General features: G+C 40.9%; 2 protein-coding genes and 1 pseudogene across 57 annotated transcripts in view, besides 4 other annotated features; 2 read left to right on the forward strand and 1 right to left on the reverse strand.

The window, feature by feature from the left end:
• MYO9A (myosin IXA) overlaps positions 1-1,779 on the reverse strand; it is a 296,310-nt gene extending 294,531 nt beyond the window's left edge. For 30 of the 50 annotated variants that reach the window (XM_047432577.1, XM_047432572.1, XM_047432568.1 and 27 more), the window contains exon 1: positions 859-1,329. The gene's annotated coding sequence lies outside the window, so the exon portion shown is untranslated. The other 20 variants (XM_047432573.1, XM_047432569.1, XM_047432580.1 and 17 more) reach the window with 4 other exon arrangements.
• SENP8 (SUMO peptidase family member, NEDD8 specific) overlaps positions 1-26,871 on the forward strand; it is a 29,435-nt gene extending 2,564 nt beyond the window's left edge. The window contains exons 1-3 of one of the 7 annotated variants that reach the window (NM_001172109.1): positions 30-345; positions 22,491-22,614; positions 22,756-24,149. In NM_001172109.1, coding sequence (NP_001165580.1) covers positions 22,803-23,441 — 639 coding nt within the window. In that variant the 5' untranslated portion in view covers positions 30-345; positions 22,491-22,614; positions 22,756-22,802 and the 3' untranslated portion in view covers positions 23,442-24,149. Of the gene's footprint in view, positions 1-29; positions 346-371; positions 392-1,581; positions 1,644-22,490; positions 22,615-22,755 lie in introns of those variants that run through there. The other 6 variants (NM_001172110.1, NM_001172111.2, XM_005254157.4 and 3 more) reach the window with 6 other exon arrangements.
• Positions 271-480: an enhancer, noted in NCBI's record as "active region_9710". NCBI's record gives its function as "activates an Ori minimal core promoter by ATAC-STARR-seq in GM12878 lymphoblastoid cells {active_cell/tissue: GM12878}" and the evidence as "EXISTENCE:reporter gene assay evidence [ECO:0000049][PMID:35858748]".
• Positions 681-1,450: a silencer, noted in NCBI's record as "silent region_6616". NCBI's record gives its function as "represses an Ori minimal core promoter by ATAC-STARR-seq in GM12878 lymphoblastoid cells {active_cell/tissue: GM12878}" and the evidence as "EXISTENCE:reporter gene assay evidence [ECO:0000049][PMID:35858748]".
• Positions 15,215-15,374: an enhancer, noted in NCBI's record as "active region_9711". NCBI's record gives its function as "activates an Ori minimal core promoter by ATAC-STARR-seq in GM12878 lymphoblastoid cells {active_cell/tissue: GM12878}" and the evidence as "EXISTENCE:reporter gene assay evidence [ECO:0000049][PMID:35858748]".
• Positions 17,781-18,234, forward strand: RPL21P115 (ribosomal protein L21 pseudogene 115; annotated as a pseudogene).
• Positions 24,952-25,041: an enhancer, noted in NCBI's record as "active region_9712". NCBI's record gives its function as "activates an Ori minimal core promoter by ATAC-STARR-seq in GM12878 lymphoblastoid cells {active_cell/tissue: GM12878}" and the evidence as "EXISTENCE:reporter gene assay evidence [ECO:0000049][PMID:35858748]".
• Positions 26,872-27,593: the final 722 nt, after the last annotated feature.

A 27,593-nucleotide genomic window follows, 5' to 3' on the forward strand; every position in this document is an offset into this window, starting at 1 on the left:
ACAAGACGAGGTGCAGGCTCTGTGACCTTATAATGGCACACACACAACTGGCCTCATGCTTCCATAACTTCACTCTGCCTCCCACTTTTTTCAGCCCAACCCCTCCAAACATGGGTCTCGGTCGGTCCCCTTAAGCCACAATGGAGGGAATACATTAGGCTAAGCAAATATTCCCTCAGGATTTCATGGCAAAGCCCTTTCAACCAAAGAAAGGATCGCGACTAAGGAGAAAGATAACAAGGTTTGCTTGAGGAGAGGTCTGTTGAGAGAGGCTACAGTCGGTGGTGGGAGAGAAGCCAAAGTCTGTGACGGTGTCTAGAGGGACTGACACCACATCTACCGGGAGTAAGAACACCATGACAGCGGCTATCTGAAAGCCGTGATGGCTAGGGTTAGTGCTAGTCGGCTTGGTGATGAGCGAGCTGGGAGGGGTTCTACTAAGAAGAGTAGGGCGAGGGGCACATGGGGGACGCAATGGGTTAGGGGGCGGTCGAGACTTTGCCTGAGAACTGTAATCACGTCAGCCCAAGGGAGGATGTAACGTAGTCTAGAAGCTCCATTAAGAGTCCTAAGGGACTCTGAGGGGTACTAATGGGGTCTGCTGGGTTGGGGGGACCGTGACAGAATCTCCGGGGAGGCTGGAGGGCCGGAATGGTGCCCGGCCAATGGAAGATACAGGGGGTGGGGTCTACTGGGGATCCGGGGCCGTGATCTGGTGTTTGGGAGGCTCGGCGCAGACCCGCTCGCGGGGCGTCTCCGCTGGGACGGGGCGGGGCGGCCCGACCGGAGCCAAATAGCGAGGCTGAGACGTGGGCCAGGACGGGCTGCAGGGCCGCTGGGCGCTTGGGCGGGTCTTACCTCGGGCTCCGCCGCGGTGGCCACCGCAGCCCCCTCCTCTTCGACGGAAGCTGCCTTCCACCCTCCGCCCCAGGGTAGGACCGGAGATGGCAGAAGAGGCCGAGGCCACCGAGGGTCGGACGGTTCCGGGAGGGTGGGCCCAGCAGCCTCAGGGTCCGGGCGAGCGGCCGCGGCGCATCCCCCGCCCTGTCAGAGAGACTCCGCCCGGCCTGAGCAGGCACATCCCCCGCCGCACCCCGCCCAGAGAGCACGCGTTGGACCGCCGCCTCAACCGCTGCCAGCGGCCGCCTCTGCCGGTGCAACTACTGCCTCCGCCGCCGCCTCTCGCAGTCCGGGCTGTCCTGTACTCTCTCAACAGACACAGCCAACCGCCGCCGCGTCCCTTATCCGCTTCGGTCGCGCGCCCCCGACCCCGCGCACGCGGCCCCGCCCCGCGCGACTCCCCGGCTGCAGGCGAGCAGGCGCGCGCGCACTTACCTCCCACGCCCCCTACTGCCAGCACGGGTCGGCCCCGCCCTGTCCCGCCCCCGCACGTGACGCCACTGGAGAGTACAGCGTGCGCTTGCGCAGACACGCCCCCTTTCCTACGCCCCAGGCGGCCCCGCCCAAATTTTTTCTTCTTCACCTTACGGCAGAGCAGGGAACTCAGCTTTAGATTCTCCCTGTACTGGAAAGGGATGTCGCAAGGTTGGGGACGAAACCTCTGAGTTTGCGACCGTAGCTGTCGCTTTCCGGCCAACACAGAGGTGCCTGAAGGCTGGTTGGGGTGGTGAGGCCCGAGGCAGGTAAGAAGCCTCCTCCCCACTTCGGTTTGTCTCGGCAGTGGATCGCTCTCCCACCCACTCAGATTCTGGCGTATCCGTGCTCCCTCCCGATTCTGGACCTGGATTCTCAGCGCCGCCGGTCATAGCCCCCGCCCCTTTTCAAACACGCACGCTCTCTCCACCCACTGCCCCCTCCATTGTCCCCGCCCCGACCTCCGTTTCCATTCATTTCTCAGACTTTTCACTGAGTGGTTTCCATGCCTTGGGTTCCAGAATGTCAGAGGCGAATTAAGTGGTGTCAGCTTTTTGAAGTGCTTTTGTATAGGAGACCGTGAGAGAATCCGCAGTGGTAGTACAATAAAGTGACAATAGAGAAAAATGCACGGGATGCTGTCTGCGCACAGAAGAGGGGTCCCAGGTTGTGTAGGAGGATAACGTGAGGAAGCCCTTTCCAGGGTGACTTTTGGGTCACTTTTAGAGGACTGTGTTAAAAGACTAGTAATCCAGTACCTGGTCAAAGAAATACGAAAGGAGGTAAAAGCAGAATAACGGGCGCAAGAGCATGTGACAGTGGTGGTCTGAAAGAGAAAAAAGAAGTAAAATAAACCTGATGGAAACCGTACTAGTGTAGACTTCCCTTTAAAGAAGCATCGTTATAAAGTTAGAGAAATGAGGAACGAGAATATGGCCCTCAGGAATGTTTTCTGTTTAGGTAGAAGACTCAAAAGCGTACCATGAAACCGAGAAGTGGCCTCTTCGAGGGTGAGGGAGGCTAATTTATAAGATCAAGATCACTAGTGGAACGCAACCTTGTATGTGCATTTGAATCACCTGGGAAACTTTTTGTTAAATAAAACCAATACTGTTGCCCCACTCTAGACCAATTAAATTCTGGGTTGTGCCAGGTGTCATTACTGTTTTAAAGCTCCACAGGTGACTCTAATGCTAAAGATTGAGACTCACTAAACTAGAGAGAAGGAAGTTGAGACAGTTGGCTCTGTAACATTAAGATGGAGGTCATTTAGCCGGGCGCGGTGGCTCACGCCTGTAATCCCAGCACTTTGGGAGGCCGAGGCGGGTGGATCACGAGGTCAAGAGATCGAGACCATCCAGGCCAACATGGTGAAACCTCGTCTCTACTAAATATACAAAAAATTAGCCGGGCGTGGTAGCAGGCGCCTGTAGTCCCAGCTACTCGGGAGGCCAAGGCAGGAGAATGGCATGAACCCGGAAGGCGGAGCTTGCAGTGAGCCAAGATCGCGCCACTGCACTCCAGCCTGGGTGACAGAGCGAGACTCCGTCCCCGCCCCCAGAAAAAAAAGATGGAGGTCATTTAACTACAGAGAGGCTTGGAGATGGAATGAGAAACTTGAGCGGCGTTATGTTTGGAATAACTGGTCTGGGAAATGGGAGAAGGAGCCACTCTTGCCTTTCTCTTCAGCACTGTTCATTCCTCAGTGTTTATCAGGTCCAAATTAGTTACTTGTCTCTTTGCTCTCCCGTTCCCTTCCGTCCAGGATTGGTCAGCTGTTGTCTCCAGCCTTAAAGCTCAAAGGCCATCCCCACTTCTGTCCCCAAAATGATCAGAGCTAAGCCAATTTATGAGATGCAGAGACCAACATCCAGAGCTAAGCCAATTTATGAGATGCAAAGACCAACATCCACTCTCATAGAGATTACTACATACAGTGCCTTGCCAATTTAGAATCTTTTTCTATTATTTATCATTTAAGTTAGTAATGAGATATAAAGATATTTAAAATACAGCTCAATTAGGATGGAAAATTACCGTATTAGGGAAAGCAGGCCTTTAAACAAAGAATTCACTTGGCAGGCAGAGAAGCTGTATGAGGTAAAGACCAAGACAGTGTATGGCTGCTATCTATTAACTAGGGTTAATCCAAAAACCTGTCTATCAGACCCAGATAAGAACGAGTTATTGTTGTCTAGTATGGCTAGAGCATAGTATGGAGAGTAGAGGTGGGACAGAGATGAAGATGATAAAGTGGGTGTGAACAGATTATGAGGAGCCTTGAATTCCATGGTGAAGAGTTTAGATTATATTACTAGAAGTAATTAATAAGTACAAAAAAGGTTCTTAACCTCTTTTACCCAGTGGACCTTGTTGGCAGTCCACCTTATAGATTCAGTCTCAGAAAAATGTTCTTAAATATATAAAATAGAATACGTAGTAATATAAAGGAAACTAATTTTGTTAAGTTTTTAAAATATTAAAACAAATGTGTGATATATATGCACTTTATGCATTAAATAAAATCTGGCAGCAGGTCTAATTATATAATTTCTAAGTAGTGATGACTATAAATTATATTTTGAAATGCCTGCAGCAACTTTAATGTGATGTGAAAATATCAGATTTCTATTGGTAAAAAAGAGAGTGCTAATATTGTAGTTTGTGGTCCACACTTATTGAAGAAATGCTAAATTTCAGCTACTGATTATTGAAAACAAAGATGCAATTGTTTTCCCAGTCTAAGTTCACAGAACCCTGATATTCTAGCCACATCCTGGTCTATGGATCCTAAGTTTTAAAATATCTCAGTATAATGGTTTTAAGCAAGAGCATGACATCAAATCTGTGTTTCAGAAAAATGATGAAGCAGTGTTCACTTCCCAACCTCTCTGCTGGGATGAGAGGCTGGCTCTGGGGCAGCAACCAGTACTATCCCACTGTTTCCTAATAACCAGGGCCTGCAGAGGGACTGAGCTTGTGGGTGTATATGTCTGTGAGAGTAATACCAGAAAATAAATCAGGAAAGGTAGATTGGGGCTATTTTTGTGGAAATCATTGAATGCCAGGCTGTAATTTGTAGTTACTTTGGTAGACAATGGAGGGTTGTTAAAATTTTTTGGAGTAGAATAATGTGATTAGAGTTCTGTTTGAAAATCTAGAATAATGTGCAGGTTAGATTATCAAAAGAGAAGATAGGAATGAAGAGACTAGAACAATAAGTTAATTAATTTTTGAAAAATGGAATCTTGGGCCAGGTGCAGTGGCTCAGGCCTGTAATCCCAGCACTTGGGGAGGCTGAGGCAGGAGGATCACTTGAGCCCAGGAGTTCAAGACCAGCCTGGGCAACAAAGTGAGACCGTGTCTCTCCAAAAAAAAAAAAAGAAAATTAGCCAGACATAGTGGTGCCTGCCTGTGGTCCCATCTACACGGGAGACTGAAGCAGGAGGATTACATGAGCCCAGGAGGTCGAGGCTGCAGTGTTCATGCCACTGCACTCCAGCCTGAGTGACAGAGAGCCTGTCTCCAAAAAAAATCTTGAGGTGATCTCTAGAGTCTGCTAAATTCCTTTATTTCCACAATGTGCTGACCAGTCTAGAGTAACATACATTGGAATAAATGGCATACCTGTCAACAGGAATATATACCCCAGTGTGGGAGTCAGTTAACTTTATGTGGTCAAGAGGCTAGCCCAGTCTTTTGTATTATAAATGATATTGTTAGTACTTCTAATAAAGCAATGGCCTTACCATAAGTTCACAGATCTTGCCAAGGCCTTCCTCAGTCAAACTCCATCTATACCTGTGAGTCCTACATTTCTGACTTTTAAAAGTCAGAACCTGTCTATACCTGTGAGTCCTACATTTCTGTCTTTTAAAAGTCAGAACTCCTCTCTTTTTGCCAATTCCTTAAACTTCTTGGATGGGAAAGAAGTTTAGTTTAAACACATTAGCAAAAGAATGGGAGGTCCTCAAGGCCCAGGCAACCCATCTCCTTTGAAACTGATCAATACCGGACTATAAAAACTTACTGCTCAAATCCAGCTAGTACCCAAAGTATGTACTGTCTATATACCTGTCTATACCTGTGAGTCCTACATTTCTGACTTTTAAAAGTCAGAACTCCTCTCTTTTTGCCAATTCCTTAAACTTCTTGGATGGGAAAGAAGTTTAGTTTAAACACATTAGCAAAAGAATGTGAAGTCCTCAAGGCCCAGGCAACCCATCTCCTTTGAAACTGATCAATACCGGACTATAGAAACTTACTGCTCAAATCCAGCTAGTACCCAAAGTATGTACTTTTTAAATGTATTCTAAAAAATTGAATTTGGGGTTTAGGTATTACTGATCCAAATGAGTCCTATAAAATTAACTTCCAGAACTAGGTTCTCAGAGAGGCCACCATTACCACCTTCTTCAACATAACTAGCCTATATTGACTTTCTGTCCATCAAATAATTGGAGGCCATTTGGGTGGTGATAGGAAGAATTAAGTTTATGCAGAACTTGAGGTTCAGCTATCTGACACCTTTTGCGGGAGGAGGAGGAGTGGGTCTATCTGAAATCAGAAATAATACTTTTATGAGGCTTTTTAATAATTTTTATTACTTACAGAAAATTTCTGAAAGTTCCTTTCTCTGGCTCCCAATTAAATGGCTTACTCCACAATCAACTTATAAAAGCACTGGATCATTGTCTTGATCCCAAAAAATTTGTCCCAACTATAGTTACTATTTTGAGCATCTGTATTATTGTTTGAAAACCTTAGGCTTGCTTTCCCTGATGGCCAATGAATAAAACTCTCAAAGTCGTGTGATTCATTACTCATTAATTCATTAGATATTTATTGAACCTCTACTATGTGCCAGGCACATTTTTGAAACCCACTAATGAGCAATTTGTAATGACAATTTACCTCTTAACTATCTATGAAAAAAATAACTTGCCAGGATTTGAAATCCTTAGAACAAATGAGATTAAAAGATCATAGCTTTTTTGTGTTCTTTCAAATAGTGTGTTTGCATAGAGCTGCCATGTGCTGACCACAGTGATTATCTGTGAAATGAGGTAAATCATGGCTTTAACCACTCCTTATCAGACTTTGTTACCACATGTACTAAAATAAAGTTCTGTCTACACCTTTATAAAATATTATCTTACACAGACGTCTTATTAATTCTAATGGCCTCTCCACACCTGACCCTCACTCCTAGTCATTTCAAAGTTTGCAATTGTGTAAAGTCATTTCTCAGAAAATTTGAAGCAAAACAAAGTCACCACAAGAAAAACTTGGTATACACCAGGTTTATATTGAGGACAAAAACTGTGACACAATTACAAATGGAACTTTTTTTTTTTTTTTTGTGATGGAGTTTTGCTCTTGTTCCCCAGGCTGGAGTGCAGTGGCGTGCTCTTGGCTCACCACAACCGCCACCTCCTGGGTTCAAGCAATTCTCCTGCCTCAGCCTCCCGAGTAGCTAGGATTACAGTTGTACACTACCACGCCTGGCTAATTTTGTATTTTTAGTAGAGACAGGGTTTCTCCATGTTGGTCAGGCTGATCTAGAACGCCCGACCTCAGGTGATCCACCCGCCTTGGCCTCCCAAAGTGCTGGGATTACAGGCATGAGCCACCGCACCCAGCCTACAAATGGAACTCTTGAGGTAGAAATGGTAGACCAGGAATAAAATTATTTTCATGGTCAATGACACCTTAGCCATTGATAGCTGTGCCTAGTTACAGAGCAATAAATGGAGAGCCTTGGTGTTAGATGAAATCCTAAAAAGTCACCTGTTTTATCTCCTTGGCCCCAGACAGAATAAAGTGGAATTTATAGCAGTAGAGTTACCAAGCATCATCATCACACCAAGTAGGTTTTGTACTTTGAGAGCTGAATTCCTCTCTGAAATATTGATGTTACAGGAATGTTGTTTAAATTCATAGCTCATTTATAAAATTGAGAATATTTCTTACATTTATAACTGTGTTGTGTTTTCCTGAGTTTTTCAAGATATGTTTCACTTCTGTACTTTGCTCACTCAGGAAAAATATTTATTTATTAAAACTCTAGCTTGTCAGGCACTGAAGTTAGAAGGATGAGTAAAATCTAATCTGTGTACTCAAGAGGGTTATATAATAAATCTTGATGGTCATTCTTACATGCCACATTATACAGATCTCCAGATGGCTTAGGCTTAGTTTTAAAAGGAAACGTTTTAATTGGGGGGAAATTGAAACCCCAAAAAAAAGCCATGAACTTCCTTCCTGGAAATATTTTTGCCATAAAAAGCATATTTGGTCTTGGATGTGATTCTTTTTGTGAAAGTGCAAGTTGAATCAGACATTAGAAGTTGGACATAATCTTCTAATTTTAGTAAACATCAAATTATTTTTAAATATTTGTGTTTGAACATTTATGGAAAAGAGATTAGATTTACCTGTTTTATCCAGAGGACAGAAGTAAGACTCAGAAGTTGAAAAAATGGAAATATTTTATGTCATTATAAGAGTGGGAACTGGTACATCTTTTATTCCTCTTCAATATGGAAATCACTGTATTTACTAATTATGTGTTCATTATTAAAAAAGGGGGAAAAATTAAAGCACAATATCAAAAGGTAGAAGGAAAAAGGCAAAAAAGTATTAATCCTATTTCTTAAAATGATATTTACACTTGATGGATATCGTTCTTGATTATTTTTCTGTATATTTTTATCATATACAGATGTTTATATCAAAGCATATTATGAACATTTTTCTTTTAATAAATTTGTATTGACAATATTATATTTAATGGCTGAAAACTATTCCATCGTGTGGAAACCCTGTTGTTTAATTTACCAGTCCTTTTTTGAACTCCAGATTGTTTCCAGTTTTTCTGTTACAAATACTGCCATGGTGAATATCTTGTTGAATTTTTGCACACATTGTTAATGTCTCCCTTAAGTTAAATTTCTTAAAGTATAATACCTACATATATAAATTTCTTAAGAATTCCAATATAATGGCAAATTACCCTTGAAAAAGCTTGCATGTATGACAGTCCTATCAAAATGGGGCATCATTTACTCATTTCCCATAATCTCTCAGCAATGCTAATTATTATTAGTTTTCTTCACCTTTGCTAACTTGACAGGTAAAAAAATGAAATTTTATTTTAACTTACATTTATTTGATTACTACTCTGATGTCCAGTGTCTTTTCATGTGTTTATTGACTAGTCATGTAAGTGTATTAACTAATATTTTCTAACAATTTTTTTTTTACTTTTTAACATTTAAATTTGTATTCTATCTAAAATATAATTTGATGTAAGGTATGAGGTAAAACTCTTTACTTTTTTAATCAAATAATTAACAAGTTGTGCCAATGCTACTTATTAAAAAATCCAGCAAGCATATCCCATACTTCAATATACAGATAATAAAGTACTGATAGATATTCCTCCAAAAAAAAGAAAGACTATTTCGTGGTTAAATAAGTTTGGGAAAAGATCATACGAAAAAAAGTTAAAATTTTTTATCGCCAAACTCTCGTTAGCCTCTAGTGTGTGTGTGTGCATTAGGAGTTAGCATTTCCTAATTTAATTAACCATGTAATCTTTTTTCTTTTTTATTTATTTATTTATTTTATTTATTTATTTTTTTGAGATGGAGTCTCACTCTGTCGCCCAGGCTGTAGTGCAGTGGGGTGATCTCGGCTCACTGCAACCTCTGCCTCCCAGGTTCAAGCAATTCTCCTGCCTCTACCTCCCAAGTAACTGAGATTACAAGTATGCACTACCATATCCAACTTGTTTTGTATTTTCAGTAGAGATGGGGTTTTGCCATATTGGCCAGGCGGGTCTCAAGCTCCTGACCTCAGGTGATCTGCCTGCCTTAGCCTCCCAAAGTGCTGGGATTACAGGTGTGAGCTATTTTTTTTAACCATGTAATCTCACTTCATAGGTATTTCAGGAAATACCTATGAAAGCCTGTGGAACTGAGCTGTCCAGTATACTAGCACTAGCCACATGTGGCTATTTAAATTTTAGTTAATTAAAATTACTCAGTTCTTCAGTCACACTGACCATATTTCAAGAACTCAATAGCCACAAGGGGCTAGTGGCTACTGTATTGAACATTTTGCAGATAAAAGAAAATTTCCGGGCCAGGCACAGTGGCTGATGCCTGTAATCCCAGCACGCTGAGAGGCCGAGGTGGGTGGATCACAAGGTCAGGAATTCAAGACCAGCCTGGCCAAGCTGGTGAAACCCTGTCTCTACTAAAAAACTACAAAAAATTAGCCAGGCACAGTGGCAGTTGCCTGTAATCCCAGCTACTCGGGAGGCTGAAGCAGGAGAATCGCTTGAACCCAGGCAGCAGAGGTTGCAGTGAGCCGAGATTGCGCCACTACACTCCAGCCGGGGCGACGGAGTGAGACTCCATCTCAAAAAATAGGAAAATTTCCGTCACAAGAAGTGCTATTGGACAGCACTGCTATGGGAACATAATGTTCAGTGGAACACGTGAACACGCTGAAAACACTGGAATAATCCATAATTTCTCCTGATTTGTCAGGCAAACATGATTACTACTACACTATGAGAACAGACTCTCTCATTGATTTGTAAAGACTCCATCATCATATTTAAAATTTCTAATCTACATATGATTTTTTTATGCTATTGATTTATCTACTTCTGCTCCAATACCACACCCCTAGTTTTAAGTCAAGGTTCTGCACCTTTCTCTTTCAGAGCAGAAATGAAGAATTCTTGCATGGAGTAGGAAATTAGATTAGAAGTGATAGTAAAGGCGCTTTCACTTCCCAGACTCTAAATGTAAACATTTCTCTGCCGAACTTGATTTATATTATGTTGAGCTGTATACTCAATTACTTATTCATTTATTCTACAATTATTTATTGAGTACCTGCCTGGTAAGCACTGTTTTAGGTCCTGGGGTTAAAATGGCAAACAAGGCAGACAAGGCCCCTCGTCGTCTTATTTTCATAGAGCTTACATTCTTGTTTTGGAGAGGGAAAGAGAAGAGGCAGGGGGAGGAAAAAAGAATATGAACCAATAAACAAATAAATTAAAAAACTATCACATAGTAATCAGTGCTATTCAAGGAATTGAAATTAGAGTGATAGTAACTGGTGGCCTCTTTGTTTTGGCTGCCCTGAGACCTCTGTGACTTAGTGGCATTTAAACTAAGATCTGTCCAAAGAAGAAGCTAATTACTAGAAGGTCCAGGCAGAGCTAGTACCACCCTCAGGAGGGAAAAAGCTTGGTGTATTTGAGGAGTAAAAAGAAAGTCTTTGTGGCTGGGTCTTAGTGGGCAAGCAGGGAAATAATAGGAGATAAGGTTGGAGAAATAGCTGAAGCCACATTTTCATGTAGGGTTTTGTAAACTAGGGTAGGGAATTTTCATTTTTTTCTGAGTATGATAGCTACTAGAGACTCCTAAGCAGGGAACAGACCTGGCCTAATTTAAATTTTTAAACAATTATTTTGATGGAGAATTTATTGGCACAGTCAGTAGTGGAAATAGGAGACCTGTTAGGCTAGGTCAAGAAAGAAATGGTGATAGATTTGACTAAGGTGATAGTAGTGAAGATGGAAAGCATTGGACAGATTTAGAACATTTAGGCTATAGAATCAACAGGACTTGTCAATTGGATGTGAAGTGTGAAGACAATAGAAAACTCTGGGATGAGCCTGGGCAACATAGTGAGACCCTGCCTCTATAAAAAAAAATATTAATTAGCCAGACATGGTGGTATGCACGTATAGTGCATATAGCTACTTGGAAGGCCAAGGTGGGAGGATCACTTGAGCCCATCAGTTAAAGGCTGCAGTGAGCTATGATTGCACCACTGCACTCCATCCTGGGCAACAGAGTGAGACGTTTTCAAAGAAAGAGAGAGGGAAAGGGGAGAGGGGAGAGAGGGAGGGGAGGGGAAGAAGAAAAAACAGAGAGAGAGAGAAAGAAAAAAACTAACTCTTGGATGATGTCTGTAATCCATTATATAGTAACCAGGTTCAATTTTCAGTCTGATTATGGCAGGCAAAATTGGGACACATAAGACACCAATAAATATATTTTAACCAAATGAATAAATTTACTTTAATAAATGTTTCTCTCCTGTACACATTTAAGCTGCTAAAGCATAAGCTTGTGCTCATTCCTTTATTATTAGGGAATCTGACTCCTAAGAATTTGAGGTTTATGTCATAAACACATCAGCTATAGGTAATTATTAGACTGTTCCCCTGAAGTATCCAAGCCAACAGAGGAGACTGAATGAAACAGAAAAAATTGCCTGCCACAGTTGCAAAAGTTCTGTGAGATTCTCATATTTTATTTTTAAATTTCATGCTGATTTTGCATTTTATGCCCAAGTTTATGTTAATAATTAAAATATTTTTAGTTGCTGATTTAAATGTTTTAAGTCAATGATTAAGTGGTTTAGCTCTTTCCCCTAAAGTTGGTCAAATTAAAGCTCTAGGAAGATGCCCTGTGATTAACTTGTGTTTGTTTTTTGGACTTTCTTTGTTGCTATCTGCTGGCACATGGGCATGTATCCATTTAGAGAAGTACAGATGCATCTCTGAGCATTTGTAGTTTGGTACAACTTAAAATCGTAGCCAAAGCGAGTGAGGAAGGCAATAGCATTTAGAAACAACTGACTTTTATAATCTGCACTTACTTTGTAATGTTTTTAAAAAACATACCTGAATGAGGCTGTTTCTCTCTTTTTATTTTTTTAAGGAATGCTTACTGAATAATTAGAAAAAAATGAGTAAAGGTCACAATTCTGGAATAGTATGTTTTCAGTAAAACAGATTTATCTGGAGTACTACTTAAGTCAATAGCCAACAGGCTTATTTTCCCTGAAGTTTTGAGAATTGCTGTATGCCATATAAAATCCTTGTTAATTTAAAACTCTAATACATATTTTAATCCCATAAAATAAATACTTATACATCTATAAAATAGACAATTATCGTTAATATCCATTGTAAATTAGTATTTTTAAGCATTTCCATTCATTAAAAATCCAGATTGAGTCCAGGTGAGGTAGCTCACGCCTATCAACCCAGCACTTTGGGAGGGCTAGACAGGAGGATCACTGGAGCCAAGGAGTTCAAGACGGCCTGGGCAGCATAATGAGACCTCATCTCTACAAATTTTTTTTTTTTTGAGACAGTTTCGCTGTTGTTGCCCAGGCTGGAGTGCAATGGTGCCATTTCGGCTCACTGCAGCCTCCGCCTCCTGGGTTCAAGCGATTCTCCTGCCTCAGCCTCCCGAGTAGCTGGGATTACAGGCATGCACCACCACACCCGGCTAATTTTGTATTTTTTTTTTTTTTTTTTTTAGTAGAGACTGGGTTTCTCCATGTTGGTCAGGCTGGTGTCAAACTCCTGACCTCAGGTGATCCACCCACCTCGGCCTCCCAAAGTGCTGGGATTACAGGCATGAGCCACTGCGTCTGGCCACATTTTTTTTTTTTAATTAGCCAGGTGTGGTGGGAGGCACCTGTGGTCCCAGCTACTTAGGAGGCTAAGGCAGGAGGATCACTTGAGCCCAGGAGGTCAAGGCTGCAGTGGCCGTGATTGCACCACTGCATTCCAGCCTGGGGGACAGAGTGAGACCCAGTCTAAAAAAAAAGAAAAAAAAAATCCAGACTGAAACAGCAATAACACCTCCAGTTAAAAGTTAATCTGGCCAGGCACCATAGCTCACACCTATAATCCCAGCATTTTGGGAGGCCAAGGTGGTGGATCACCTGAGGTCAGGAGTTTGAGACCAGCCTGGCCAACATGGTGAAACCCCGTCTCTACTAAAAACAATACAAAAAATTAGCCAAGCATTGTGGTAGGCACCTCTAATCCCAGCTACCTGGGAGGCTGAGGCAGGAGAATCACTTGAACCTGGGAGGCAGAGGTTACAGTGAGCTGAGATCGCGCCATTGCACTCCAGCCTGAGCAAGAAGAGCGAAATGCCATCTCAAAAGAAAAAAGAAAAGTCAATTTATCTGGAAACTGCCTTTAAGATAGTTTAATAAATGTCCCCAGTGCTTTATTAGAATTGTAAAAGTTCTTAAAATTAATTCAACCTGGAAATTTACAGATTACATAACAGTGATCTAGAATAGGGATTGGCAAACTTTTTCTCTAAAAGGCCAAATAGTAAATATTTTAGACTTTGCAGACTACTCTGTCCTTAGAGGTCAAAAGTAGCCATAAACAGTATGTGAACAAATGAACATGACTTAGTCCAATAAAACTTTATTTATAGAAGCAGGCAGTGGGCCAGATTTGGCCTGCAAACTGTAATTTGCTGACCTTTGGACTAGAAAACTAGAATGTTTTAGGATTTTTTTTTTTTTTTTTTTTTTTGAGACAGAGTTTCGCCCTTGTTCCCCAGGCTGGAGTGCAATGGCGTGATCTCGGCTCACCGCAACCTCCACCTCCCAGGTTCAAGCAATTCTCCTGCCTCAGCCTCCCAAGTAGCTGCAATTACAGGCATGCGCCACCATGCCCAGCTAATTTTGTATTTTTAATAGAGACAGGGTTTCTCCATGTTGGTCAGGCCAGTCTCGAACTCCCGACCTCAGGTGATCCGCCTGCCTCAGCCTCCCAAAGTGCTGGGATTACAGGTGTGAGCCACTGCGCCCGGCAGGATTTTTATAAACAGGATGACAGAATTTAAAAATTGGCAGAGATGACAGCTTAGAATCATAGAATATAGAGCTAGTGGAAACTTAGAAAAGAGCTAGTGGAAACTTAGACATCAGAATAACTTGGAAATATCTTAAAAATGCAGAGGCCCAGATTCTATCCCAGGTGTATGCTCTTTAAAATCCCCACAGATAGGTGGGCATGGTGGTGCATGCCTATAGTCCCAGCTACTCAAGAGGCTGAGGCAGAAGGATGGCCTTGAGCCCAAGAGTTCAAGGATGCAGTGAGCTATAATCACACCACTGCACTCCAGCATGGGCGACACAGCAAGACCTCATCTCTTAAAATAATTTTTTTAAATCTCATAGATGATTCTAATATGCTTCCCTGGCTAGAACCACTGTTTACCTGGTCCAGACCACTCAGTTTACAGATGATGAAGCTGAAATTCATAGGTTAAGTGACTCTTCCAGAGTCAAACAACTGGTTAATTGTAGATCTGAACTGAATCCCAGGTCTGACTCCCTAACTAATATTTTTTCTACTGAACCAGCAGCTTCTTCCCTTGTATCAGCAGGCCATCAGAATGACTCCTATTGAATTGTGAATTTTCCCTTCAAGTTGGTTTTTATTACTTTTTATTTAATTACTTTGTTTTTTATAACAAATATTCAAGTAGTGTGCATCTTAAGGATTTTAGGATTAATAAGAAGTAATCTCCTTCTATTAAAATTAATCCTTTGTTAAGGAAGTGTTCTACACTTATGAATTCAATATTAGCTTCATTTAATTACAGAATTTGGAAGATACAATAAACTAACCCCTGTAATGACAGGGTTTGTGTATACTGACAACACATTAACATCATTGCTTCACTCAGATTGAGAGAACAATTTTCCCTGGACTTAGCATTCTCTCTCTTTATGCCAAAGATAAAGCACAAGAGCAGAGTCATGCCATGGCTAGTTCCATCTTTGATAACTTTGTGGCTTTATATAAAGAGACAAGTGCTTTATTTTCAAGAAATCTTTGGGGTCCATTATTGCCACCTCAAACATAGGGAACAGGGAAGGAAACTAAGTTTTTTTGAGAGCCTACTGTAGATCAGACAAGGTGCTGAGTGTTTTCACTCATGTTTTTAATTCGTGTAACAACCTGTGATTATGTTATTACTACCTCATCTTACAGATGAGGAAAATGAGGCCCAGAAAGAGGAAGAATAACTTGCCCACGATCACTTAAATAGTAAGTGGCAAGGTCAGAGCCTAGACCCAAGACTTCCTAGCCCTAAAACATAGAACTATGTGTTTGGTAAGATTTTACAAATAGAACTATAAGGAGGTCATTGGCTCCCCAGTTGACTCACCTTTCTTGCCCTTCCCCTAGTCTTGCTTACCATCCACCAAGACCAAGTACACAGATCCTTTTAACTCTAAACGAATTTACTATTAACAGCAGAACAATAAAGGATAACAGGCAAAGCATAAAACCAAAGAATAAGGATGTTACAAAGAATACAGAAATCTTAAGTGGCCTTATTTCTTTTTTTCCCGTAATCTAAATTTTCTGACTTCCCTTTAAAAATATTTCATTCATCTGGCAAACATTTATTGCACTTCAGATATGCCAGGCACAGTGCTCACTACATAGAAAATATTCCTAAATGATTATAGATGGCTCTTGGTTTTTTGCTAGGTCCCCTTCCATCTCCTTTTCTCCCACCCCATTGATAATGTTATTATCATCCTCTCACTCACCCCCAACTGAAACCTTCAGACCATTTCATAATTCTTTTTTTTTTTTTTTTTTTTTAAACAGAGTCTCACTCTATCCCCCAGGCTGGAGGGCAGTGGCGAGGTCTCGGCTCATTGCAACCTCTGCCTCCCGTTTTATCTACCCTCCTCTGATCACTTACTGAGTCTTATTGATTCTCTGTCTACAATATCTATTCCTCCACATTCCTACTATCATTTCTCCTGCTTTAGGTCATTACCTCCTACCTTTACTTGCAATAAAAATCTAATTGGGCTGGGCACAGTGGCTCATGCCTGTAATCCCAGCACTTTGGGAGGGCAAGGCGGGCGGAACACCTGAGGTCAGGAATTCGAGACCAGCCTGGCCAACATGGTGAAACCCCGTCTCTACTAAAAATACAAAAATTAGCCAGGCATGGTGCCAGGCACCTGTAATCCCAGCTACGCGGGAGGCTGAGACGGGAGAATCGCTTGAACCCGGGAGGCAGAGGTTGCAGTGAGCCAAGATTGCACCACTGCACCCCAGCCTGGGCGACAGAGTGAGACTCACCTCAAAACAAAAGAAAAAAATATCTAATTGATCTCTGCTTTCAATTTTTCCCTTACCAATTAGTTCTATATATTATAGCTGAATTATTATCTTCCCAAAGCATTGACCTGGCCATTAATGGCTCCCACTTCCTCCAGTATAAATTTCAAACTCCTTCACTGGAATTCAGTCTGTCACCACTTAGCTTCTAAGAATCCTCTAATATTTGCCTGCACCTCTACTACTCCCACTTCATTCTAGCACGCTAGACTATTCAAGATTCTCTCCACATTTGAAAGCACTTTCTTTACCTCTCTGTCTTCCACATGCATCCAGCTCCACCTGTCCTTCAAGAGCCCACTTTTATGCCACTTTCCTCAAAGCCATTTCTGATCTGAGCACTCATTCCTTTTCATCCTGTTAGCCAGGAATGATTATTCTCTCTTGTGAATTCCCATACATTCTGTTTGTGCCTCTTATGGATTTCTTATCTCATTGACTAGAAGCCACCTTATACATCTTTGTATCTCCCATAGCATCTAATATGAGGTGCTCAGTAGGTATTTATTGACTAAAATAATGGTATATGCAGTACGTGTTCATTATAACAAAATAGGTTTAAGCTCAGTAAGGGTAGAAACTATTTCATTCTCACTCTATATTGCCACCCCCTGACACAAAGGAGAACACTCAGTAGACCTTTGTTAAATGAAATACATTACAGTTATCAGTCATTGGGTTATAAATTTCCTGATGCCATAATAGATACCTAGAAACACTTTGTCTTTTTTTGTTTATTTGTTTTGGGGGTTTTGTTTTTTTGGATGGAGTCTCGCTCTGTCACCCAGGCTGGAGTGCAGTGGCGCTATCTAGACTCACTGCAACCTCTGCCTCCTGGGTTCAAGCTGTTCTTGTGCCTCAGTCTCCCTAGTAGCTGGGACTACAGGCACCCACCATGCCCCGCTAATTTTTTGTATTTTAGTAGAGACAGAGTTTCACCATGTTGCCTGGGCTGGTCTCGAACTCCTAAGCTCAGGCAGTTTGCCTGCCTTGGCCTTATGTTGTATTTTAAAATCCTAGTTATGTATGTTTCTTTATTTTATATTGACAAATACCACATGATAAAGGTCATATATTCTTATTCTCACTTTAAGCTGGGCACGGTGGCTCACACCTGTAATCCTAGCATTTAGTGGGGCAGAGGCAGGAGGATAACTTGAGCTCAGGAGTTTGAAACCAGCCTGGGCAACAAAGTGAGACCCTGTCTCTACAAAAATTTAAAAATTAGCCAGGCATGGTGGTACGCACCTGCAGTCCTAGCTACTCTGGAGGCAGAAGCCAGAAACTTGCTTGAACCTAGGAGTTTGAGGCTGCTCCGAGCTATGATTGTGCCACTGTGCTCCAGCCTGAGCAACAGAGCGAAACCCTGTCTTTAATATAAAAATAAAAAATACTGCCTTTTGGCCCAAAATGCCATCTTCCAGTAATTTGCCAAATGACTAACACAAAGGGAAAGAGGAGAGGTATCCAATATATGTTCTCTAGGCCTTGGAAAAAACATGGAGTTGTTCCTTTGGCCATGTATATGCGAATCTATAAGAAATATGATATCGTAGACATCAAGGAAATGGATACTGTTCAAAAAGGAATGTCCCAGAAGTGTTACCATGGCAAAACTGGAAGAGTTTACAGTGATACCCAGCATGATGTTGGCATTGTTGTAAGCAAACAAGGGCCAGATTCTTGCCAAGAGAATTAACGTGCATATTGAGTGCATTAAGCACTCTGAGAACAGAGATAGCTTCCTGAAATCGTGAAGGAAAATGATCAGAAAAAGAAGGAAGCCAAAGAGAAAAGAGCCTGGGTTCACCCTGAAGCACCAGCCTGCTCCACCCAGAGAAGCACACTTTTTTGTTTGTTTTTTGTTTGTTTTTGAGACAGAGTCTGGCTCTGTCACCCAGGCTGGAATGCAATGGCGCAATCTCAGCTCACTGCAACCTCTGCCTCCCGTGTTCAAGCGATTCTCCTGCCTCAGCCTCCCGAGTAGTTGGGATTACAGGCACCCACCACCACGCCCGGCTAATTTTTGTATTTTTAGTAGAGACGAGGTTTCACCATGTTGGTCAGGCTGGTCTCGAACTCCTGGCCTCAAGTGATCCGCCCACCTCATCCTCCCAAAGTACTGGGATTACAGGTGTGAGCCACCATGCCCAGCCTCAGAGAAGCACACTTTGTGAGAAATAATAGAAAGAAGCCTGGGCTGCTGGTAGGTGTTAAAAAAAAAAAAACTCTGGACTATAAAAAATAAAAATAGAAAATATTTTCACTTTACAGAAAAGGAAAGTGAGAGTTAAGGAAATTTAGTAATTTATTTATGATCACACAGCCAATGAGTAACAGAATTGAATCTAAAATTTAAGTCTTCAAATACGAAGTTTAGAGTTATTTTTGGCAAAGGGTGGGTTTGGCTAAAGGCTAGTTGAGTTCTATTTGCATTAGAATTTTTGGAGTTAAACTTGCTGTCATGCTGTATGGAACAGAATTAAGGCCTTGATTAACATTTTGTCTATGTGCTTGGTATTTTAAAAATCAAACAGACAAAACACAAAAACTATTTCTGAAGAAAATCTTAGCCCAGCTTGTGGACATTCCCTTCAAGGTGAGAGATGACTGACTGTTGAGGCAGTCTTCTTGCAGGTTCCTTTCCCTAGTTGGGTTGGTGTTGAAGACTGGGTGTGATTTCAGCAGGCAGTGTAGAGAGTAGGTCTCCGGGTTTTTGCCAAGCTATATGACCTGGCACTCACAAGTATGCAGTGTTTATTGAAGACATGAGAGACAGATGCTGTAGCCAGGGAGCAGTCATTCTGCCTTTATATTATAAACTCTTACATCAAGTCACATCGACAAGCTGATTACCTAAACTCTGTCAAATTGCTTTTGTTTGATTGATCTGTGCCCATTTGCCATAAGGCTAGATAGTAAAGATTATTATAGGAAACAATCCTGTCTGTTTCATCTGTTGTAAGGATACTGTGAGGCACTATTTGTTATGATGCACCATGTCTTTTATGAAAATCTCTTGAGAAAAAACTATCGGACTATAATACAAAGAATTATTTTACCTCTCCTGAGCAATTGCTTTGTTTTTGTCTTATGGACATTGTGAATGTTTACCTTTCTCTGGCCAGATGCCAAAAAGCTTAGAGCCAAATTTGTGGCCCACCCATAACAAATGTGCTCTATGCCTCATTAACTTCATTCTTGGCTCCAGTTTATGTCTCTCCACTAGTCTTTTTTTCTTAAGAAGATCCTAATTCATGCCATCTTATTATATATTTTTTCTTTTTTCTCATAAGTAGCCTTATGTTGTTTCTCAAATAGTCAGATTATGACATACTGTGTCTACATAAAACCATGTTGGATGCCCCTTCATTTACTTTGGCTTTTTTTCTTGAGGGGTGTATTGATTTTTCATATAGGTTTTTGCAGCGTTTTGTTACACGAAAATGGTTATATCACAAAAATTATTGCTTAATAGTGTAGACAAGTGGTAAAATAACTGGTCTAATGGTCAGAATTGATTAAATTGATGTCATAATTCTAGTCTTGTCTTTTACAGCATTATTACTATTTTCTTATAATATGCTTTGTTTTGCACTCTCAATCTGCATGTGACAGTTTATTGCTGTGTGATTTTCAGAAATATTGTCGTGCTGCCAGGTCACTGCATAACAGCTAACTCTCTGTTAACTCTGTTGAGTCTGTTAGGCTCAAATATTCTACACCCATCAGACTTGTCTCACTTTGGGTGGTCACAGGCATATTAATTTCATCACACAACTTGTCTTGCTTCTCCTCTAAATTAGTCATTCTTTTATTTAGACAAGATAATGTGAATGGATATTTGTTTTCAAACCTCATTTTCTTTGATTGGTTTGGAGCTCTAGCTGGATTTTCTGATTATCTTACTAATGTCATCTAATTGATAAATATTATTGTACAACTTTTTAAACTCTTTTAGTACTTCCAAGTAAAATTATTTGGTCTTCTCTACAACTCTCTAGGGTATGTAAGGTGGGTATATGCCTTTTTTACAGATGGCATACAAAAATGATTAAATGATTTTATATGCCATCTGTAAAAAAGGCGTATACCTTTTTAGAAAAACAAGGACAAAGTCATTTAAATGACTGCTCAAGATGATACCAGCAAATCAGTGGTAAAACTAGGACTAGACCCAGGTTTCCAGAATCTTATCCCATACTACCTTTTAAAAGAAGTCAAAAGAAGTTCTAACTTATATTGTAAACATTACTTCATCTTTATCATACCCCTTGAAGCTAAAGCTATGAAACAGGCAAACACATGTTATATCACTCATGCTCATAGCAGGGCAGAATCAGGAATGAATTTCATTTGTATTAGTCTCATGATTCTCTGTTTTTAAAATTACAGTTCCTTTTAACTACTACCGTAATCACTGTCACGTTCCATTATGGAAGGAGGAAGCAATATTTTATCTTATCTTTTGAAAATTAATGTTGAGGCCAGGCGCGGTGGCTCACGTCTGTAATCCCAGCACTTTGGGTGGCTGAGGTGGGTGGATCACGAGGTCAGGAGATCGAGACCATCCTGGCTAACACAGTGAAACCCCGTCTCTACTAAAAATACAAAGAATTAGCCGGGTGTTGTGGCGGGCGCCTGTAGTCCCAGCTACTTGGGAGGCTGAGGCAGGAGAATGGTGTGAACCCGGGAAGCGGAGTTTGCAGTGAGCCAGGATCGCGCCACTGCACTCCAGCCTGGGTGACAGTGCGAGACTCCATCTCAAAAAAAAAAAGAAAAAGAAAATTAGTGTTGAAATGAAAAGTATTTCCCTTGGAAATTAGTAACTTTTTAGATTCTTTGAATTCATCTTTAATATAAAAATAATTTGTTGTCATTATGCATATTCATTAAGGAGCCAAATAATACAGTTAATGGTATGGTGTTTGGTAAAACATTAGCTATAATTTTAATCTCTGTGCTTCAAGAGGATATTTAAAATTCATGCTTACTGTGTACATGGCAAGTTTCCAGTTCTCATTCTAACTAATCGTTTACATGTAGCACATAAGCTAGAATTTCTTATAGTTACAGTTGACCCTTGAACAACACAGGGGCTAGGAGTGCCAACCCCCGTATGCAGTCAAAATTCTAGGTATAACTTTTTTTTTTTTTTTTTTGAGATGGAGTCTTGCTCTGTTGCCCAGGCTGGAGCGCAATGGCATGATCTCAGCTCACTGCAACCTCCACCTTCCAGGTTCAAGCAGTTCTCCCACCTCAGCCTTTCGAGTAGCTGGGATTACAGGCATGCCCCACCACGCCCGGCTAATTTTTGTATTTTTAGTAGAGATGGGGTTTCACCATGTTGGCCAGGCTGGTCTCAAACTCCTGACCTCAAGTGATCTGCCCACCTTGGCCTCCCAAAGTGCTGGGATTTCAGGCGTGAGCCACAGCACCCAGCCTAGGTGTAGGATTTGACTCCCTAAAAAAATACGCCAGGTGCGGTGGCTCACGCCTGTAATTCCAGCACTTTGGGAGGCTGAGGCGGGCGGATCACAAGGTCAGGAATTCGAGACCAGCCTGGCTGATATGGCGAAACCCTGTCTCTACTAAAAATACAAAAAAAAATTAGCCGGGCATGGTGGCACATGCCTGTAATCCCAGCTACTCAGGAGGTTGAGTCAAAAGAATCGCTTCAACCCAGGAGGCAGAGGTTGCAGTGAGCTGAGATCGTGCCACTGCACTCCAATCTGGGCGACAGAGTGTGACTCCATCTCAAAAAAAAAAAAAAAAAAAAACTTTACTACCAATAACATAGCCAATTAACAATAACATAGCCAATTAATACATGTTTTGTAAATGTATTATATACTGCATAATATATACCTTACCAATAACATAGCCAATTAACACGTTTTGTAAATGTATTATATACATTTACAAATAACCTTACCAATAACATAGCCAATTAACACGTTACCTTACCAATAACATAGCCTTACCAATAACATAGCCAGTTAACACATGTTTTTTAATGTATTATAAACTGCATTCTTACGAAAAAGTAAGCTAGGGGAAAATATTAAGAAAATCATAAAAGAAAATATATTTACTATTCATTAAGTGGAAATGGATCGTCATAAAGGTCTTCATCCTCATCATCATGTTGAGTAGGCTGAAGAGGAGGAGGAAAAGGAGCAATTGGTCTTGCTGTCTCAGGGGTGGCAGAGGCAAAAGAAAATCCATGTGTAAGTAGATCTGCACAGATCAAACCCACCTTGTCCAAGGGTCAACTGTGTATTTTTTTACCACAACCCTATAAAAGTAACTACTATTTTCCAGCCGCATTTTACAGTCAGGTATTTATTGACAATAATATTGTCTTCTAGCTCTTGTTCAGCTTCTGGAATTTCTGAGCAGCCCTCGTCAGTACAAGATGGACCCCGTAGTCTTGAGTTACATGGACAGTCTACTGCGGCAATCAGATGTCTCACTATTGGATCCGCCAAGCTGGCTCAATGACCATATTATTGGGTTTGCGTTTGAGTACTTTGCCAACAGTCAGTTTCATGACTGCTCTGATCACGTCAGTTTCATCAGCCCTGAAGTCACCCAGTTCATCAAGTGCACTAGCAACCCAGCAGAGATTGCCATGTTCCTTGAACCACTGGACCTCCCCAACAAGAGAGTTGTATTTTTAGCCATCAATGATAACTCCAACCAGGCAGCTGGAGGAACCCACTGGAGTTTATTGGTCTACCTCCAAGATAAAAATAGCTTTTTTCATTATGATTCCCATAGCAGGAGCAACTCAGTTCACGCAAAGCAGGTAGCAGAGAAACTGGAGGCTTTCTTAGGCAGAAAAGGAGACAAACTGGCCTTTGTGGAAGAGAAAGCCCCTGCCCAACAAAACAGCTATGACTGTGGGATGTACGTGATATGTAACACTGAGGCCTTGTGTCAGAACTTCTTTAGGCAACAGACAGAATCACTGCTGCAGCTACTCACCCCTGCATACATCACAAAGAAGAGGGGAGAATGGAAAGATCTCATTACCACACTTGCTAAAAAGTAGCTATTGAAGTATATTTGCGACTTTTGAAGGCTCCTCTTTCTGCCCTTCCCCATTTGTTGGATGGCTGCAATCTCAGTGCCTGAGGGAAGATGCCTAGTAGAGGAAAGCTTAATACTCTTTTTCCTGAAAGAATATCATCCTCTGCATTATCCCCATGGAACGTTTCACTTTAACCCTGACTGGGGAGCAATATGTTCTGTGAAAATATCTTGAAATTGTACACCAAAACCTTACAACCAACTTATTTGAACATTTATTACACACAGGGTTTACGTAAGACTTTTCTTATTGGTATATAATTAATTTCCTTTGGTCTCCCTTATCCACATTGGCTTATTCTGGAGGAAAAGCAGTGATCTGTAAAACAAATCAAGAATATATTAAATCTAGAGGAATGCAGAGAAGAAAACTATAAAACAGAACCAAAAACTTGTTGCACAGCCTACATAATTAAGAGATCAACTGGCTGGAAGCAGATCAAGGCCTAACTTCATTCAAGACCTAAATATTATGAGACTCAGTTATTCGGTTTTATGTGACATCTCTTCCATTCACCATGCACAGGCTTTTCCAGCTATCTATATAATGTTTGCAAATATTTGATAAAGATGATGTTACCCTATCTTCCTCCATCTGATTCCTGGAATGCTTGAAGAAAGGGGAAATCTTGAGTAACCTCATTAAAATTAATGTCTGGTGGACCTCTCAGTTTGCTCACTGATTGGGTAGACTTGCTACTCTGGATTAATAACTGCTTTTCTCTGCCTTGTCTATTAGCCATGCACACACTTCCTCCTTATATCCAAAGTTCTTTGGTTCTAAAATTCATAGTTGATACCTTCCCAAGGTTACCTGTTGTTTCAGATAAACATTTGTTCTTCCTGATAGTTATAGGTTTTCCTCTCTGTCCTTAATTCTGGCAGAATTGTTTTTAGTTATGTCATGGTAATTTCAGGATGATTTTTGTATCTGAAACTTAACAGACTTAGAGTTGGTTTGTTTTTTAAATATAAAGGAAGAAAAGTGACCTTTCTCAGCCCTTTTACTTAATTAAAAATGCAGGGAATGTAATTTGTAAAATGTGGAACCAAGAGTAGAACGAAATACTATCCCTCCAGAAGCACTGATGTGTTTCAGTTGTTTCAAATAGTAAACAACCAGATGACATGTTAGGTACACAAATTAATTCTATTCCTAATGAGAATTAGATTGCAAGGCCTATGAGACTTGAAAACCAAAGATGAGCTTCAGCCATGAAACTTATTTCAGCTACCTCCCCAGCCTAACCCTGCCCCCAGCCCTCATGGCCCAAAATAACCTCACCACTCAGTGACCACAGAGAAAGTAACTTGGTTCCTTTTAGCCGAGAAGGGAAAACACAGTAAGGGTAAATAAGTACAGGTTACATAGCAGGCCTGAGTGAGCAGGAGCTGAAACTAAAAGTCAAAGAGAAAGCTATCAAAAAAAGTTTCCATTTCAAGTCGGTACATTTTGGATAAAAACCAGTCCTAATGGAAGATGGGGCTAGGAAAAAGATTAGGAACTGGCAGTCATCCATAGAGGTGAAATACAGAGGGAGGGACAGCAAGAGAAGTGACAAAGGTCACTGATGATAGGCCACAAGTGTAGATAAAGATAAGAAAACAATGTTATTTCAGTGACTGTTGACTTAGGCAGCTAATCTAGACTATTAAAGTCAAATCCTCTCTGGGAAAAGTTATCTTTCTGACAATGCAAAGTATGTTTATTTAAATATCAGAGTATCTTCAATCTGAGAATTAAAGCATATGAAAGCAATCTTTCCTAACTCCCTACGATTCATCTTATAAGTAAATTTATAAGTAAATTTTTAAACTACACTAGTCTTTTAAATATATATAGAAAAATATATATACACACGTATAGACATGTATATGTAATCTATCTACATATATATAAAAAATGCATTTTCCAAATGCATTAGCCTGATTGGACTGTGCCACAGATTAGTGTCCTCCTATGAAATTTTGAGTATGTCATTTGTAAATGTTAGCATTATAAATTGCAGGAGAATTTAAGAATTGACTTGTATTTCACTGGATACTATAGTACCCGGTAAGTTACACACCTGCTTGACCACATACCATTCATGTTACATGACACAAAATAGGAAAAAATCTTTTGCTGGTATTGCGTTCCCTTCTCTCTTAGAGTCAAAAGGATCTATTCTGCAAAATTAATCAAAATATTCAAAAGGAAGGCAGGTTTTTCAAAACTGGGCTAAGCAATTATCAAACTGAACTAACCTGCTTTCAGATATCCTGTTGTATTGCCCGGTAAGTATAGTCACACTTGTCCAACCCGTGTCTCAATATGGAATTCAGAAAAGTTACCATATATAAACCCAGCTATAAATGGTTGTAGAAAATATAAGTATCAGTGGGTTTCCTATGTAATAGTGTTTAAAACACAAATATTTCAACCATTTGGCAAGGTATATGTTGAAGTTCACAAGCGCTGGTCCTAACCAGATCAGATAAAGTGGATTATGTTTCTGATATGTACCTAATTATTTTGACTATACTATAATTTTACAATATGCATATTGACCGTATGTTTTAATAACACATTCCATTGAAATGACCAAGTAGAATTTCTCAGTTACATGGGGCAGGCCGGGCGCAATGGCTCATGCCTGTAATCCCAGGACTTTGGGAGGCCAAGGCAGGCAGATCACCTGAGGTCAGGAGTTCAAGACCAGCCTGGCCAACATGGCGAAACCCCGTCTCTACTAAAAATACAAAAATTAGCCGGGCATGGTAGGTGGGCGCCTGTAATCCCAGCTACTCAGCAGGCTGAGGCAGGAGAATCACTTGAACCTGGGAGGCGGAGGTTGCAGTGAGCTGAGATTGTGCCACTGCACTCCAGCCTAGGCAACAGAGCGAGACTCTTATCTCAAAAAAAAAAAAAAAAGTATTTACAGAAATGTACATGCTATGGTGTTAGAGCATGAATGTCAAATCCAGGGTCTGTCAGATTCAGTAGTCTCATCTACAAAATAAACCTTGTTTTCCTTCTGTCCTACTCAGTTCCATTTTAAGACTAACAACAAGTTTGAAAACTTAGTTTTATATTGCTATGCAGCTAAACAGCTGTGTAAAAAATGGCTGATAATTACTGTTATGTACAAAAGAGAAACTTATTCAAGGATGGTGAATAGCAACAACTAACCTTTTTATCACTCTGTAATGTGCAGGGTACTTTATGCACACATATTACACAAGTACCTTGCATATTATATATGCATCATTATATATATTACCATATATATAAAGTAACTTGTACATTTTTGAGGTTCTATAGAAATATATAATCTCATTAATTCTTATGTTCTCATGTTTCAACAGGTACTGTTATTCTCATTTTATAAATAAACTCAGAAGCTCAGTCACGTGGCCTCCATCTCGTCTCACACTTTTTCCACCTATTCCTTTCTCCCTGTCCTAGAAAATGGCAAGAACTTCACACTTGAACATTTTAAATGTAGTCTAGCCTCAGTTTCTAAATTTCATATATTCAGCTGGTATGTTACAGAAACTAATAGTGAGAAATTGTCATCTGAATTAACTGCTAGGCAGCAGGACCTATATAACTGGCTTGGTTTTATATATTAAGTCATATCTGGATCAGCTCCTTATACTGCTCTGCTGGTTTAGGGCACCTTAAAAGCCCTACATTGGCCGGGCGCAGTGGCTCACGCCTGTAGTCCCAGCACTTTGGGAGGCCGAGGCGAGCAGATCACGAGGTCGGGAGATCCAGACCATCCTGGCTAACATGGTGAAACCCTGTCTCTACGAAAAATACAAAAAGAAGTTAGCTGGGTGTGGTGGTGGGCACCTTGTAGTCCCACCTACTCGGGAGGTTGAGACAGGAGAATGGCGTGAACCCGGGAGGCGGAGCTTGCAGTGAGCTGAGATCGTGCCATTGCACTCCAGCCTGGGCAACAGAGCGAGACTCCATCATCTCAAAAAAAAAAAAAAAAAACCCTACATTTTATGTCCTGTGTTAAATTACCTTTAATATTACATGTATATGAAAGACGGGAAGTTGAACAAGAGCAGCAGCGTGGGGAATCTCCAAAAAAGAGGGCTTAAAGGAATTGCATCAAATAAA

The sequence above is a fragment of the Homo sapiens genome, chromosome 15 (assembly GCF_000001405.40).
Source record: "Homo sapiens chromosome 15, GRCh38.p14 Primary Assembly".
Classification (NCBI taxonomy): domain Eukaryota; kingdom Metazoa; phylum Chordata; class Mammalia; order Primates; family Hominidae; genus Homo; species Homo sapiens.